General features: G+C 42.6%; 1 protein-coding gene across 8 annotated transcripts in view, besides 3 other annotated features; it reads left to right on the plus strand.

Annotated features, from left to right (window-relative positions):
- Nucleotides 1-15,822, plus strand: part of SMAP2 (small ArfGAP2) — a 78,493-nt gene that overhangs the window by 18,034 nt on the left and 44,637 nt on the right. For 2 of the 8 annotated variants that reach the window (XM_011541960.3, NM_022733.3), the window contains exon 1: nucleotides 10,860-11,356. The exons of 3 other annotated variants lie outside the window; for them this stretch is intronic. Coding sequence is in view for 2 of the 5 variants with exons in the window: in NM_022733.3 (NP_073570.1) it covers nucleotides 11,254-11,356 (103 nt within the window). In the remaining 3 variants the exon portion in view is untranslated. Of the gene's footprint in view, nucleotides 1-10,859; nucleotides 11,357-11,765; nucleotides 11,842-12,879; nucleotides 12,950-15,822 lie in introns of those variants that run through there. 3 more of the 8 variants (XM_047428014.1, XM_047428015.1, NM_001198978.2) reach the window with 3 other exon arrangements.
- Nucleotides 10,603-10,922: a silencer, noted in NCBI's record as "silent region_726". NCBI's record gives its function as "represses an Ori minimal core promoter by ATAC-STARR-seq in GM12878 lymphoblastoid cells {active_cell/tissue: GM12878}" and the evidence as "EXISTENCE:reporter gene assay evidence [ECO:0000049][PMID:35858748]".
- Nucleotides 10,993-11,132: a silencer, noted in NCBI's record as "silent region_727". NCBI's record gives its function as "represses an Ori minimal core promoter by ATAC-STARR-seq in GM12878 lymphoblastoid cells {active_cell/tissue: GM12878}" and the evidence as "EXISTENCE:reporter gene assay evidence [ECO:0000049][PMID:35858748]".
- Nucleotides 11,118-11,617: an enhancer, noted in NCBI's record as "H3K27ac hESC enhancer chr1:40839657-40840156 (GRCh37/hg19 assembly coordinates)". NCBI's record gives its function as "activates a minimal SCP1, AML or CMV promoter by ChIP-STARR-seq in primed H9 embryonic stem cells {active_cell/tissue: H9 hESC(primed)}" and the evidence as "EXISTENCE:reporter gene assay evidence [ECO:0000049][PMID:30033119]".

Raw genomic sequence — 15,822 nt, forward strand, 5'->3', positions numbered from 1 at the left:
ACATAGCAGCAGGCCTCCTCCAGCTTGGAGCAGCAGGGCAGAAGCTTCAGGATGGACAGCGCCAAGAATAATGAAATTTATAGCTTAGCTGATGTGTTAGAACTCACTAAGAGGAAATTCTCTTCTGTCAGAGTATTAGGAGATGAATTAATCATAGGTTCATAGAAAATTAAGCACTCCAAAGTGGAGCAATTATTGACTCCAGGAAAAACAAAAAGTTTAACCAGGAAAAAAATGCAATCAATGAATACAAAGCACAACTGTCAATAATATTAAGTCATAATATTATAAATATTGAGCATTAATTTAACAAAATATTGTCATTTAACTATACTAGGAAAATGTGGGAAAGGAAGTCTGGGGGAGTATATATAAAGAAATCTAAATCTTCATCTTCCATAGCAGGAAGTGAATAAGCAAAGCTGGGAAGGTAAATCATGGTGATAGAAACATGTTATTTGGGCAATACATAAATTGTAGAAGAAACAACTATAAGAGTTGAAAATGGTTGTCTCAGAGGAGTAGGGACCAGTGTGGGCAGAGATGGGGCAGAGGATTACTGTTTGTCATTATAAGCCTTGTATAATTACTTGACTTTTAAAACTATGTGCATGTTTTTACTTTGATTTAAAACTTAAAAAAAAAAATCTAATATCTAGGAAGGCAGAGCAAGATGGCCAAAAATAGAAGACCTCACCAATTGTCCTCCCCACAGGAACACCAAATTGAACAACTATCCACACAAAAAATCACCTTCATATGAACCAAAAATACAGTGAGTAATCACAGTACCTGGTTTTAACTTCATATTACAGAAAGAGACACTGAAGAGAGTACAAAAGACAGTCTTGAATTGCTGATGCCACTAACCCCTTCCCCACCAGCAGCCGTGTGGATCAGAGAGAGAACTGGTGTGCTTGGGGGAAGGAGAGTGCAGTGATTGTGGGACTTTACATTAGAACTCAGTGCTGCCTTGTCACAGTGGAAAGCAACCCTGGGCAGAACTCAGCTGGTGCCCCCAGAGGCAGCATTTAGACCAGCTGTAGCCAGAGGGGAATCACGAAGCTCACTAAGCTTAGTCTCACCAAGCTCATTTGCATGTGACAAATAACACTGAGCTCATAGTAAAACAGGGAGCATAATTATCCAGCTTTCTAAATGAACAGGTCATTCTATGAGTGTTATCTGGTATAGGTAAAGTGACTGGCCAGTGAATCAGAAACTGATTAACATATGGCTTAAGAGATTTTGATCTCTTAGCTATAAGATACACTAATGAGAGTTTCCTGTGGCAATAGTCCAAAAATGTTCACCATACCTCTTTCTTGGTAGTAATCTGGGCATTTTATTACTGTGGCTTCTCTAGTATAGTGGTTTTTATTTTGTCCTTATTTATGTGAGTTGGGGTTTCAAAATACTCTGATTTAAAGAAAAAAAAGAGGGCAAGCAAGGTGGCTCACACCTGTAATCCCAGCACTTTGAGAGGCTGAGTGGAGAGGATTGTTTGAGGCCAGGAGTTTGAGACAGCCTGGGCAACATAGCCAGATCCTATTTCTACAAACAGAAAATAATTTATTAAAGAAAAATAAGATGGGCCAGGCACAGTGATTCATGCCTGTAATCCCAGCACTTTGGGAGGCCAAGGCAGGAGGATCGCTTGATTCCAGGAGCTCAGGACCAACCTGGGCAACATGGTGAAACCCTGTCTCTACAAAAAATACACAAAATTAGCTGGACATGGTGATGTACGCCTGTAGTCCCAGCTACTCAGGAGGCTGAGGTGGGAGGACTGCTTGAGCCTGGGAAGTCGAGGTTGCAGTGAGCTATGTTCGAGCCTCTGCACTCCAGCCTGGATGACAAAGTGAGACCCTGTCTCCAAAAAAAAAAAAAATGGCTCAAGGCTGTGGATATCCTCCACAGGGACATCAAGGTGCTGAAAAGCTCAATAAGAATAATAATCGGTCAAACAGCTGTCAAAAAGTATAATGTCTTTTTAGCCTCAGAGTCTCTGATCAAGCAGATCCCATGAATCCTTGGCCCAGGCCTAAATAAGGTGGGTAAGTTCCCTCCCCTGCTGACACACAACAAAAACATGGTGGCCAAAGTGGATGAGGTGAAGTCCACAACCCAGTTTCAGATGAAGAAGGTGCTATGTCTGGCTGTGGCTGTTGGCCATGTGAAGATGACAGACGATGAGCTTGTACATAACATTCACCTGGCTGTCAACTTCCTAGTGTCATTACTCAAGAAAAATTGCCAAGACATTCAAGCTTTATATACTGAGAGCACCGTGGGCAAGCCCACGTGCCTGTATTAAGCCACATTCTAGGCTCATGCCTGTAACCTCAGCACTTTGGGAGGCCAAGGTGTGAGGATCATTTTAGGCTATGAATTCAAGACCATCCTGAGCAACAAAGCAAGACTCCATCTCTATTTCAAATAATTTTTAAAAGGCACATTCTAATAAATTCTACTGCCACCAAAGCAAAACAAAACAAAATAAAAACAATAAAGAGAAATTATCTGGAAGCTGAGTATGAAATGTGGTATCAGGATTCTTCAATTCATTCCAATTTTCTGAAATCCATTAGATACAGTGCAACCAAACTATGCTCAGTGGCCACTGGGACAGATAGAAAATTCTATAACTGGATACATTCGGGGAGGAGCCAAGATGGCCGAATAGGAACAGCTCCGGTCTACAGCTCCCAGCGTGACCGACGCAGAAGACCGGTGATTTCTGCATTTCCATCTGAGACCTGCAGCTGAGGGTCCTGTCTGTTAGAAGGAAAACTAACAAACAGAAAGGACATCCACACCAAAAACCCATCTGTACATCACCATCATCACAGACCAAAAGTAGATAAAACCACAAAGATGGGGAAAAAACAGAACAGAAAAACTGGAAGCTCCAAAAATCAGAGCGCCTCTCCTCCTCCAAAGGAACGCAGCTCCTCACCAGCAACAGAACAAAGCTGGATGGAGAATGACTTTGACGAGCTGAGAGAAGAAGGCTTCAGACGATCAAATTACTCTGAGCTACGGGAGGACATTCAAACCAAAGGCAAAGAAGTTGAAAACTTTGAAAAAAATTTAGAAGAATGTATAACTAGAATAACCAATACAGAGAAGTGCTTAAAGGAGCTGATGGAGCTGAAAACCAAGGCTCGAGAACTACGTGAAGAATGCAGAAGCCTCAGGAGCCGATGCGATCAACTGGAAGAAAGGGTGTCAGCAATGGAAGATGAAATGAATGAAATGAAGCGAGAAGGGAAGTTTAGAGAAAGAAGAGTAAAAAGAAATGAGCAAAGCCTCCAAGAAATATGGGACTATGTGAAAAGACCAAATCTACATCTGATTGGTGTACCTGAAAGTGATGGGGAGAATGGAACCAAGTTGGAAAACACTCTGCAGGATATTATCCAGGAGAACTTCCCCAATTTAGCAAGGCAGGCCAACGTTCAGATTCAGGAAATACAGAGAACGCCACAAAGATACTCCTCGAGAAGAGCAACTCCAAGACACATAATTGTCAGATTCACCAAAGTTGAAATGAAGGAAAAAATGTTAAGGGCAGCCAGAGAGAAAGGTCGGGTTACCCTCAAAGGGAAGCCCATCAGACTAACAGCGGATCTCTCAGCAGAAACCCTACAAGCCAGAAGAGAGTGGGGGCCAATATTCAACATTCTTAAAGAAAAGAATTTTCAACCCAGAATTTCATATCCAGCCAAGCTAAGCTTCATAAGTGAAGGAGAAATAAAATACTTTACAGACAAGCAAATGCTGAGAGATTTTGTCACCACCAGACCTGCCCTAAAAGAGCTCCTGAAGGAAGCGCTAAACATGGAAAGGAACAACCCGTACCAGCCACTGCAAAATCATGCCAAAATGTAAAGACCATCGAGACTAGGAAGAAACTGCATCAACTAACGAGCAAAATCACCAGCTAACATCATAATGACAGGATCAAATTCACACATAACAATATTAACTTTAAATGTAAATGGACTAAATGCTCCAATTAAAAGACACAGACTGGCAAATTGGATAAAGAGTCAAGACCCATCAGTGTGCTGTATTCAGGAAACCCATCTCACGTGCAGAGACACACATAGGCTCAAAATAAAAGGATGGAGGAAGATCTACCAAGCAAATGGAAAACAAAAAAAGGCAGGGGTTGCAATCCTAGTCTCTGATAAAACAGACTTTAAACCAACAAAGATCAAAAGAGACAAAGAAGGCCATTACATAATGGTAAAGGGATCAATTCAACAAGAAGAGCTAACTATCCTAAATATATATGCACCCAATACAGGAGCACCCAGATTCATAAAGCAAGTCCTGAGTGACCTACAAAGAGACTTAGACTCCCACACAATAATAATGGGAGACTTTAACACCCCACTGTCAACATTAGACAGATCAACGAGACAGAAAGTCAACAAGGATACCCAGGAATTGAACTCAGCTCTGCACCAAGCGGACCTAATAGACATCTACAGAACTCTCCACCCCAAATCAACAGAATATACATTTTTTTCAGCACCACACCACACCTATTCCAAAATTGACCACATACTTGGAAGTAAAGCTCTCCTCAGCAAATGTAAAAGAACAGAAATTATAACAAACTATCTCTCAGACCACAGTGCAATCAAACTAGAACTCAGGATTAAGAATCTCACTCAAAGCCGCTCAACTACATGGAAACTGAACAACCTGCTCCTGAATGACTACTGGGTACATAACGAAATGAAGGCAGAAATAAAGATGTTCTTTGAAACCAACGAGAACAAAGACACAACATACCAGAATCTCTGGGATGCATTCAAAGCAGTGTGTAGAGGGAAATTTTTAGCACTAAATGCCCACAAGAGAAAGCAGGAAAGATCCAAAATTGACACCCTAACATCACAATTAAAAGAACTAGAAAGCAAGAGCAAACACATTCAAAAGCTAGCAGAAGGCAAGAAATAACTAAAATCAGAGCAGAACTGAAGAAAATAGAGACACAAAAAACCCTTCAAAAAATCAGTGAATCCAGGAGCTGGTTTTTTGAAAGGATCAACAAAATTGATAGACCGCTAGCAAGACTAATAAAGAAAAAAAGAGAGAAGAATCAAATAGACACAATAAAAAATGATAAAGGGGATAGCACCACCGATCCCACAGAAATACAAACTACCATCAGAGAATACTACAAACACCTCTACGCAAATAAACTAGAAAATCTAGAAGAAATGGATAAATTCCTCGACACATACACTCTCCCAAGACTAAACCAGGAAGAAGTTGAATCTCTTAATAGACCAATAACAGGAGCTGAAATTGTGGCAATAATCAATAGCTTACCAACCAAAAAGAGTCCAGGACTAGATGGATTCACAGCCGAATTCTACCAGAGGTACAAGGAGGAACTGGTACCATTCCTTCTGAAACTATTCCAATCAATAGAAAAAGAGGGAATCCTCCCTAACTCATTTTATGAGGCCAGCATCATTCTGATACCAAAGCCGGGCAGAGACACAACAAAAAAAGAGAATTTTAGACCAATATCCTTGATGAACATTGATGCAAAAATCCTCAATAAAATACTGGCAAACCGAATCCAGCAGCACATCAAAAAGCTTATCCACCATGATCAAGTGGGCTTCATCCCTGGGATGCAAGGCTGGTTCAATATACGCAAATCAATAAATGTAATCCAGCATATAAACAGAACCAAAGACAAAAACCACATGATTATCTCAATAGATGCAGAAAAAGCCTTTGACAAAATTCAACAACCCTTCATGCTAAAAACTCTCAATAAATTAGGTATTGATGGGACGTATTTCAAAATAATAAGAGCTATCTATGACAAACCCATAGCCAATATCATACTGAATGGGCAAAAACTGGAAGCATTCCCTTTGAAAACTGGCACAAGACAGGGATGCCCTCTCTCACCACTCCTATTCAACATAGTGTTGGAAGTTCTGGCCAGGGCAATTAGGCAGGAGAAGGAAATAAAGGGTATTCAATTAGGAAAAGAGGAAGTCAAATTGTCCCTGTTTGCAGATGACATGATTGTATATCTAGAAAACCCCATTGTCTCAGCCCAAAATCTCCTTAAGCTGATAAGCAACTTCAGCAAAGTCTCAGGATACAAAATCAATGTACAAAAATCACAAGCATTCTTATACACCAACAACAGACAAACAGAGAGCCAAATCATGAGTGAACTCCCATTCACAATTGCTTCAAAGAGAATAAAATACCTAGGAATCCAACTTACAAGGGATGTGAAGGACCTCTTCAAGGAGAACTACAAACCACTGCTCAAGGAAATAAAAGAGGATACAAACAAATGGAAGAACATTCCATGCTCATGGGTAGGAAGAATCAATATTGTGAAAATGGCCATACTGCCCAAGGTAATTTACAGATTCAATGCCATCCCCATCAAGCTACCAATGACTTTCTTCACAGAATTGGAAAAAACTACTTTAAAGTTCATATGGAACCAAAAAAGAGCCCACATCGCCAAGTCAATCCTAAGCCAAAAGAACAAAGCTGGAGGCATCACACTACCTGACTTCAAACTTTACTACAAGGCTACAATAACCAAAACAGCATGGTACTGGTACCAAAACAGAGATATAGATCAATGGAACAGAACAGAGCCCTCAGAAATAACGCCGCATACCTACAACTGTCTGATCTTTGACAAACCTGAGAAAAACAAGAAATGGGGAAAGGATTCCCTATTTAATAAATGGTGCTGGGAAAACTGGCTAGCCATATGTAGAAAGCTGAAACTGGATCCCTTCCTTACACCTTATACAAAAATCAATTCAAGATGGATTAAAGATTTAAACGTTAGACCTAAAACCATAAAAACCCTAGAAGAAAACCTAGGCATTACCATTCAGAACATAGGCATGGGCAAGGACTTCATGTCCAAAACACCAAAAGCAATGGCAACAAAAGACAAAATTGACAAATGGGATCTAATTAAACTAAAGAGCTTCTGCACAGCAAAAGAAACTACCATCAGAGTGAACAGGCAACCTACAAAATGGGAGAAAATTTTCGCAACCTACTCATCTGACAAAGGGCTAATATCCAGAATCTACAATGAACTCAACCAAATTTACAAGAAAAAAACAAACAACCCCATCAAAAAGTGGGCAAAGGACATGAACAGACACTTCTCAAAAGAAGACATTTATGCAGCCAAAAAACACATGAAAAAATGCTCATCATCACTGGCCATCAGAGAAATGCAAATCAAAACCACAATGAGATACCATCTCACACCAGTTAGAATGGCAATCATTAAAAAGTCAGGAAACAACAGGTGCTGGAGAGGATGTGGAGAAATAGGAACACTTTTACATTGTTGGTGGGACTGTAAACTAGTTCAACCATTGTGGAAGTCAGTGTGGCGATTCCTCAGGGATCTAGAACTAGAAATACCATTTGACCCAGCCATCCCATTACTGGGTATATACCCAAATGACTATAAATCATGCTGCTATAAAGACACATGCACACGTATGTTTATTGCGGCATTATTCACAATAGCAAAGACTTGGAACCAACCCAAATGTCCAACAATGATAGACTGGATTAAGAAAATGTGGCACATATACACCATGGAATACTATGCAGCCATAAAAAATGATGAGTTCATGTCCTTTGTAGGGACATGGATGAAATTGGAAATCATCATTCTTAGTAAACTATCACAAGAACAAAAAACCAAACACCGCATATTCTCACTCATAGGTGGGAATTGAACAATGAGATCACATGGACACAGGAAGGGGAATATCACACTCTGGGGACTGTGGTGGGGTAGGGGGAGGGGGGAGGGATAGCATTGGGAGATATACCTAATGCTAGATGACGAGTTAGTGGGTGCAGCGCACCAGCATGGCACATGTATACATATGTAACTAACCTGCACAATGTGCACATGTACCCTAAAACTTAAAGTATAATAAAAAAAAAAAAAAAAGAAAAGAAAATTCTATAACTGGCCAGGCGCGGTGGCTCATGCCAGTAATCCTAGTACTTTGGGAGGCTGAGGTGGGCGGGTCACGAGGTCAGGAGATTGAGACCATCCTGGCTAACAGGGTGAAACCCTGCCTCTATTAAAATACAAAAAATTAGCCAGGAGTGGTGGCACGTGCCTGTAGTCCTAGCTACTTGGGAGGCTGAGGCAGGAGAATTGCTTGAACCTGGGAGGCGGAGGTTGCAGTGAGCCGAGATCGCACCACTGCACTCCAGCCTGGCGACAGAGCGAGACTCGGTCTCAAAAAAAAAAATTTTATAACTAATGTGGAAACAGTTTTATGATAAGATAACATGTGCATGATGGAACAGAGTGAACATTTTTGCAAGACTAGTCAAAGCAAAATTCAAGACTTCAAAAAAAAAAATGTGTACTTGGGAGGAGCAGTTTGCTTTGTTTATATCCTCAGACCCTGGGCTATGCACTCACTTTACTCTGCTATTAGTAATGATAATAAAAAGAGCTAATACTTGATGTATCTGCTAGGATAGGCTAGCTTATACAGTGGTAAACAAACAAAACTCAATGGCAACACAATGCTTATTTCTTGCTTATGCTAAGTTATCCTCTATGGGCTGGCAGAGAGCTCTTGTTTATCAGCTACACAGAAATCCAGGCTAATAGAGCAACCAACATCTTCAGCATCAATAGTTGCCATGCCAGAGGGAAAGAGAAGCACAAGAGGCTCAAAGCAACAAATAAATGCTTCAGAGACAAAGTAATCCATCCTTTCTGCTCAAACTCATTGGTCTTTCCCAATCACTTGAAGGCCAGGAAATAAAATCCTACCATGTGCTCAGAAGGCAAAACGCCAGAAATATTTAGTGAAGAGCGCTAATTGTCTATCATTCACTATCTACCAAGGGCTGTTCTAATTATATTACAGGCATTATCTCAGCTAAGCCTCATAATAATCTTGTGAAATAGGTACTATTAATGTTATCATCATTCCCATTCTATAGATGAAATAACTGAGGCACCAAGAGGCTAAGTAACCTGCTCAAAGTCACACAGATAATAGGTGGTAAAAGCTGAAGATTTAAACTTAAGCATTCTTGCCCCAGAGTCTGTGTGCTTAACCACAAAGCCATGAGATCTCTCACTAGGTGGGAACAATTTGAGAAACACTGCCATAGGCAATGGAGAGCCACTAAAGGATTTTTTAAGCAGGAAGTGTGAGTCCATCAGAATTGGCATTTAAAAGCTCCCTCTAGAGAGCACGGTGAAGGATTAATTTAACCAGATTTAGACTAAGGCAGGAAGGCTATTTGCAGAGTGAGGAGATGAAGATGGGGAGGGCTTGAACTAAGGTACAATCACCACTCACCGCAATTAACTGGGTTTTGTTGTTGTTGTTGTTGTTTGAGACAGGGTAACGGGGTACATTGGGGGTTGGAGGGGTGGTTCTTACTGTGTTGCCCAGGCTGGATTCCAACTCCTGGGCTCAAGTGATGCTCTGGCTCTGGCATCCTGAGTAGCTAGGACTACAGGTATGTGCCACCACACCCAGTAACTAGTTAATCTTGACTGTCTATTTCAACTGAAAAATGGTTATGGTAATACCTACTTGGATGGGTTTTCTGAGGAAAAACACCCCAATGAACTTGTGTGTTTTTAAAAGTCAAGTCCCCTAGGCATGGCTAGAAGGGAAGAGGCTTAGCCAGAAAATTTAATTGTTGTGATTAATAAAGTAATAGAAATGTTTAGTTTTCCTCTGATGAGATGAAAGCTTTGAGGGGATCCTGGTCTTGGGAGAAAGTAAAGAAATGGAGGAGAGGGTTTCACCAGAGTTTAGATAACTCTTAGCATCTGCTTACTATCTTCCCTGATTAATTATTTCCATGGCAGCCAGAGTGACCTTTTAAAACCACAAATCGGATCATGCTGTTTCCCTCTCCCCTAGTACAGTGCCTGATACTTAGAAATTTCTCAGTAACATCGTGCTCAGTGAATGAATGAATGAATGAGTGAATGAAAACACAAGCCAGATGGCAGGTGGATCCCTAAGGAAAAGGACAGCCAATGAGAAATTATCTGTAGCAACGGTGGCTTTGGATGATGATGTTTAATAATCATTTTTAAGGAGTTGCCTGTTGTGTGCTATGCTTTAATCACTGTCCCCCACCCTTCCCAAATAACGTTCAGTAAAAGTCTGCCACAAAAAACTCGCTGTTTTGTGAGAATTTAAGAAATGGAAGAAGAAACAAACTGTCTGGGCACCAGGCCAAACAATATCCAAAAAGGCAGGAGTCACAGAGGAGAGCTAATGAGTATTAGTGGGAGCAGGTATTCCAAGTGAGAGGTGACCAGAGTCCTCTGAAAATGTGGGGAGGGGGTGACGTTCCTATATCCTGGGTTAGGGGCTTGGACTCTTATATTTGGCTGTTGGAAAAAACAAGCTGGAGGACTTTGGGGTATCAACAACCCTCAGGTTACATAAGGATGATCATAGGGTCGTTGTGAGGATTATGTTGGGATAGTTCATGCAAAGCGCTTAACACAGTGCCTAGCGCATAGTAAGAGCTCAGTAAATGTTAGTTGTTGTCTTCCTTCACTTTCTTCCATTCCCTCCACTCCCTTTCTACCAGGCTCCATTCATTCTCTTCCAAGGACACGCAGGGGGCGTGCCCACCCCTTCCCTCCGCCCCCACCCAAGGCCCGCCCCCCGCTTCTCCACGGATTGGTTCCCGAGAGGCGGAGCTGAAGGAAGAGCCCAGTGCGGCGCGGTGGGGGCGGGGCGCATGCGCGAGCTGGGCAGGGTGGAGGTGGGGAGGAAGAGCTGCCGGAAGTAGGCGGTGGAGGTGGTAGCGGAGCTGACGGCAGCTGCCAGGGAAACCGAGGCGCGGGACGCAAGGCCAGCAGACAGGCCGGCCAGAGGGTCATCTGCGTCCGGCACCCAGGAGGCTCGTGGTCCGCCTTTGCCTGGGCTGAGGGTCTCTGGCCCCGCAGCCTCTCTTGGAGGCGGGCCTGTCCCTAAGCCCGCCAAGGGGCGCCGCGCCGAGGGGCTGCGGAGTGGGGGACGGACGCCCCCGACCCGGGAAGGGGCGTCCGGCGGGGCCGGAGGAGAGGGCTCTCCCCGCTCAGGAGGTGCCCCTGGGCGGGGGACCGGGAGTCCTCAACCCCGGACTGAGGCAGGGGTCTCTGGGGGCGAGGAGGGCGCGTCGCCCTCTGCCCCCGCCGGCACCCTGGCCATGACAGGCAAGTCGGTGAAGGACGTGGATCGGTACCAGGCTGTCCTGGCCAACCTGCTGCTGGAGGAGGATAACAAGTTTTGTGCAGATTGCCAGTCTAAAGGTAGCGCATCCCACCTGGCGGGCCAGGGGTCCAGCCGCGCCGGGGTGGTGGGGGTGGGCTGCGTGAAGAGGCGGTTTCTGAAGCTTAGGCCGCCCAACTCGGCTTATAAGTGGTAACGCGTGCTGCGCTTGCAGTGAGCCTACTGGGCTTTCTGCAGCTGGGGGATTGGTATGGGTAGAGCTTGCGAGGGCGAGTCTGTGTGTGTCGGGGAGGGTGGAGGTGATGGTGCGGGTGGAAGTTGCCTGGCGTGTTCAGGTGAGAATGTCTGTATTTGAGGGCTCTGAATGAGTTCTGGGCCGGCTGTCCAGAGAGAGCTCCCAGCATGTCACTTGCAAAGCTGGGGATGAACTGCATTGCGTGCGTGCGTGCGTGCGTGTGTGTGTGTGTGTGTGTGTGTGTGTGAGAGAGAGAGAGAGAGAATGACGAGGAGGAGGAGGAGGGAAGTGAGATGGCGGAAAGGAAAACTGCTTAAATGATTTTTAAAGGTGGTGATTTTTGCTTCCTGCTATTTGGTTAGCAACTCCTGTCATTTTGCAGCCTTGCTAAGATCTGACAAGAGTGCTTAGGTGACTTTATTCTTCTGGATGTGTGCAGTGGGAAACTGCCTTATGCAGTGACACAGTGCGGATTTCTAGGCAGTGTAGCCCTGGCTTGTAGAGTGCGTTGGAGGCCTATGTATGAGTGGTGGCAGAAACTAGCCGATTATGCCTGTAGTGCAGGATCCGTTTAATCAGTGGAGAGAGAAAGATGAATTCGATGAATTCATTGCTTCCATGGCGATTACACTTCTAAAGGTGAAATATGATCATTGTAAATTGGCAGAACCATTTAGTCTTTGTTTTCTGTGCCCTAGAAGATTCATGATTTGATACAATTAAAAGTCAGTACAATAGGAAATCTTGGTTATTAGTGAAATGTTGGCACTTGACATTTATACAAGCTTCTATGAATCTTTTTTTCCTGTATTTTCTAATTCTTTTGGCATATAATTGGAGGATTGGGAAAATTATTTTCCCTTTGGTTGGGTCGAAATGGATAGTTATATTTTGGGGGCGACAATTTACTTTTGTTCATAATGCAGTGGATTTGCCATGGTTGTTTGCCGTACAGCGTAGTGGGCATATACTATAAAACAAAGATTCAGTTATATTCGTATTTATCTATTTTGAGAAAGGAAGGACATATTTAATTGATGCTTTCACTTAATTACCTTTTATTTTTGAAGAATAAGGTTATAAAAGGAGAACAGGGGAGGGATACATAGACACCTAGTAATGTATTTTAGTGACCTCTACCAACAGATAAATGGAATGTGCCATTAGGAAAACAAATTCCTAGACTTCTTTCCTGAATTTTTGCATTAGCAATAATTCATTTTAAAAAGTATTTTAGAATCAATTTATGTTGAGTAGGTTAGCTTCTTGATTCTTGTTACATCTTCTGTTAGGTCTATTGGAAGATTTGGTTTATTTTAGGAGTGTATCTTGGCTTTATTCAAATTCCCTTATGTCCTCATTTGACAGATCTTGAGTCACAGTGAAGCAACCCACTGGAGTGAGCATTGCTGCATTTGGAGAGTCAGATGCCATTTTGGTGACTAGAACCCCCCCCCCCATTTCTCATATTACCCTTATACTTACTCATATTCCAATAAAATACAGCACATGGAAGAGAGAGGCTGATTCACTACTTCTTCCTCCAAATTTCCATTGCTTTTTATTTATTTTATTTTTTATTTTTATTTTTTGAGACAGTTTCGCTTTGTCGCCCAGGCTGGAGTGCAATGGTGCAATCTCGGCTCACTGCAACCTCTGCCTCCCGGGTTCAAGTGATTCTCCTGCCTCAGCCTCCCGAGTACCTGGGATTACAGGCGCCCGCCACCATGCCCAGCTGATTTTTGTATTTTTAGTAGAGACAGGGTTTCACCATGTTGGCCAGGCTGGTCTTGAACTCCTGACCTCAGGTGATCCACCCGCCTCAGCCTTCCAAAGTGCTGGGATTACAGGTGTGAGCCACCATGCCCAGCCCGAAATTTCCGTTGCTTTTTATTAATAAGCTTACTGGGGATCAGGTTATGAAATATCAGTTAATTCTTAATGAGAACTAGTAACTGCTGGCTTGTAAACTTTATTAACTACTGTTGATGGTAGAATCCTGGATCCTCAATTTCTTTTCAGAAGTTCGTTTTACATTTTACCAGGTGGCTTCAGGGACTTGGTCATTGTATTAAAAATGAGATGACAATGGGTCAGTCATCTTTAGATTATGACAAATAGGCATTTGTTGAGGCCTCTGTTTATCCAATTTATGAATTACCTATCCCATTCCACCCCTCCAAGCCCTCTCACTCTTTTTCCCCTGCTGTTTTCTAATTTTGGTTGTCATAATGATCATTTGGACAACTATCAGATTGTTGAAGGAAAAGACGTTTGGATCAATAAATTGTTACCTGTTAGCGCTGATAAAAAATACATTTCATTGGAGGAGGAATTTAAAAAGTGTTGGCTAAAATGAGAATTGGGTTTCAGTTTATTTACCTGTATTCCTGTGTCCTTTCCTAAAAAATTGGAAGTTAACTGTACAGGATATGGTGAGTGATTGCTCATCTATTAATATCCAGTTAGATGATGTGGCATAGACTATCGACCTATGAGCAGGTATTTTTGCAATGTTCCAAAATATAACTCTTTGGCAATGACTTTTATTTTTAAATTCTTATACTTATTTAGGAACATTTATTAGTTGACTTTCAAGGTATGTGATTTAAACTTCGGAATAGAGGCTGGGTGTGGTGGCTCAAACCTGTAATCCCAGCACTTTGAGAGGCCAAGGAGGGAGGATCACTTGAGTCCAGGAGTTCAAGACCAGCCTGGGCAACATAGTGTGACCTTGTCTCTACAAATAGTTAAAAAATTAGCTGGGTGTGGTGTTGTGCATCTGTGGTCCCAGCTACTCAGGAGGCTGAGGCAGGAGGATCACCTGGGCAACTGAGCCCAGGAGGTCGAAGCTGCAGTGGGCCATGATTGAGTGCCACTGCGCTGCAGCCTGGGTCAGAGAGCAAGACCCTGTCTCTAAAACAAAACACAACAAATAAACATCAGAATAGAGAACAAGCTTGTGTTCTTTTTACTTCGTACAAGTTTTGTTGATCCTGGGGTTTTTAACTGTCCTGGGCACGAGTCTTACCAGTTTCTGGGACCACTAAACCATTCCAGTAATTTCAGTGTGGGAAAGGAAACTGCTTTGGGGCTGCCTATTTAAGAAATGCTATGATTCTCTCTAGGCTCAAGATGTGATTTCTTCATTACCCAAAGCCCTGGGGTTAATGTGACTTTTAGGGTGAACTTTTGGACTAACTTAGGTAGTGATAGAACAGAGGACAAAACTACTGAAAATTCCAGATATGTCAATGGTAACTCTGGCTGATTGAGGCTGGGTTCCATTTTTGGGTATGGGTCATACTTCCTTTGTACTTGGGGTCATACTGGTCCAAGTTTTAACTTCTAGCTCAGCAGTTCCAGATTTTATCAGTGTGTCAGGAATAATTGCTAAGCCACCCCGTCAGAGACTGTGTTTTAAACTGGACACTATCTTATTTACCATGAAAGGATCTACAGTTGTCCTTTGGTATCCAGGGGGGATTGGTTCCAGGAACCTTCTGGGGTACTAAAATCCACAGATGCTCAAGTCCCTGATATAAATGTTGTAGTGCTTGCATATAACTTATACACATCCTCCCTTATACTTTAAATCATCTCTAGATTACTTATAATATCTAATACAATGTTAATGCTATGCCAGTAGTTGTTACTCTGTATAATTTAGGGAATAATGAGAAGGAAAAAAGTCTGCACATGTTCTGTACAGATGCAACCATTCATTTTTTACTGAATATTTTCTTTCCTTTTTATTTTTTTTAGAGACGGGGTCTTGCTCTGCCACCCAGGCTGGAGTGCAGTGGTGCGATTATAGCTCACTGTAGCCTCAGACTCCTGGGCTCAAGCTGTCCTCCCACTTAGCCTCCCAAAGTGCTGGGACTACAGGCGTGTGCCACGGGGCCCAGCCATTTTTTCGAATATTTTCAATCTGCAGTTGTTTGAATCCACAGATGCAGAACCCATTTCTAATGGAGGGCTGACTATACCTTTCTGATGACCTAAATATTTGTGTCCACTATTGGGACACTCCTTTCTTAGTGTCAAGGTTTGTGAGAAATTGAGGGCTGTTTGATGGGCAAAGATTTATTTATTTATTTACTGGCTTATCTACAATTGAGACAGGGTCTCACTATGTTTCTCAGGCTAGTTCTAACTCCTGGGCTGAAGCAGTCCTCCCATCTCAGCCTCCCAGAGTGCTGGGATTACAGGTGTGACACACCATACCCGGCAGAGCAAAGAGTTAAGAGTACAAGACATTTGATCATCTTGAGGAGTATTTACTTCAGACTGAAACACCACATGAAATTC

This window comes from Homo sapiens, chromosome 1 (genome assembly GCF_000001405.40).
Source record: "Homo sapiens chromosome 1, GRCh38.p14 Primary Assembly".
Classification (NCBI taxonomy): Eukaryota; Metazoa; Chordata; class Mammalia; order Primates; family Hominidae; genus Homo; species Homo sapiens.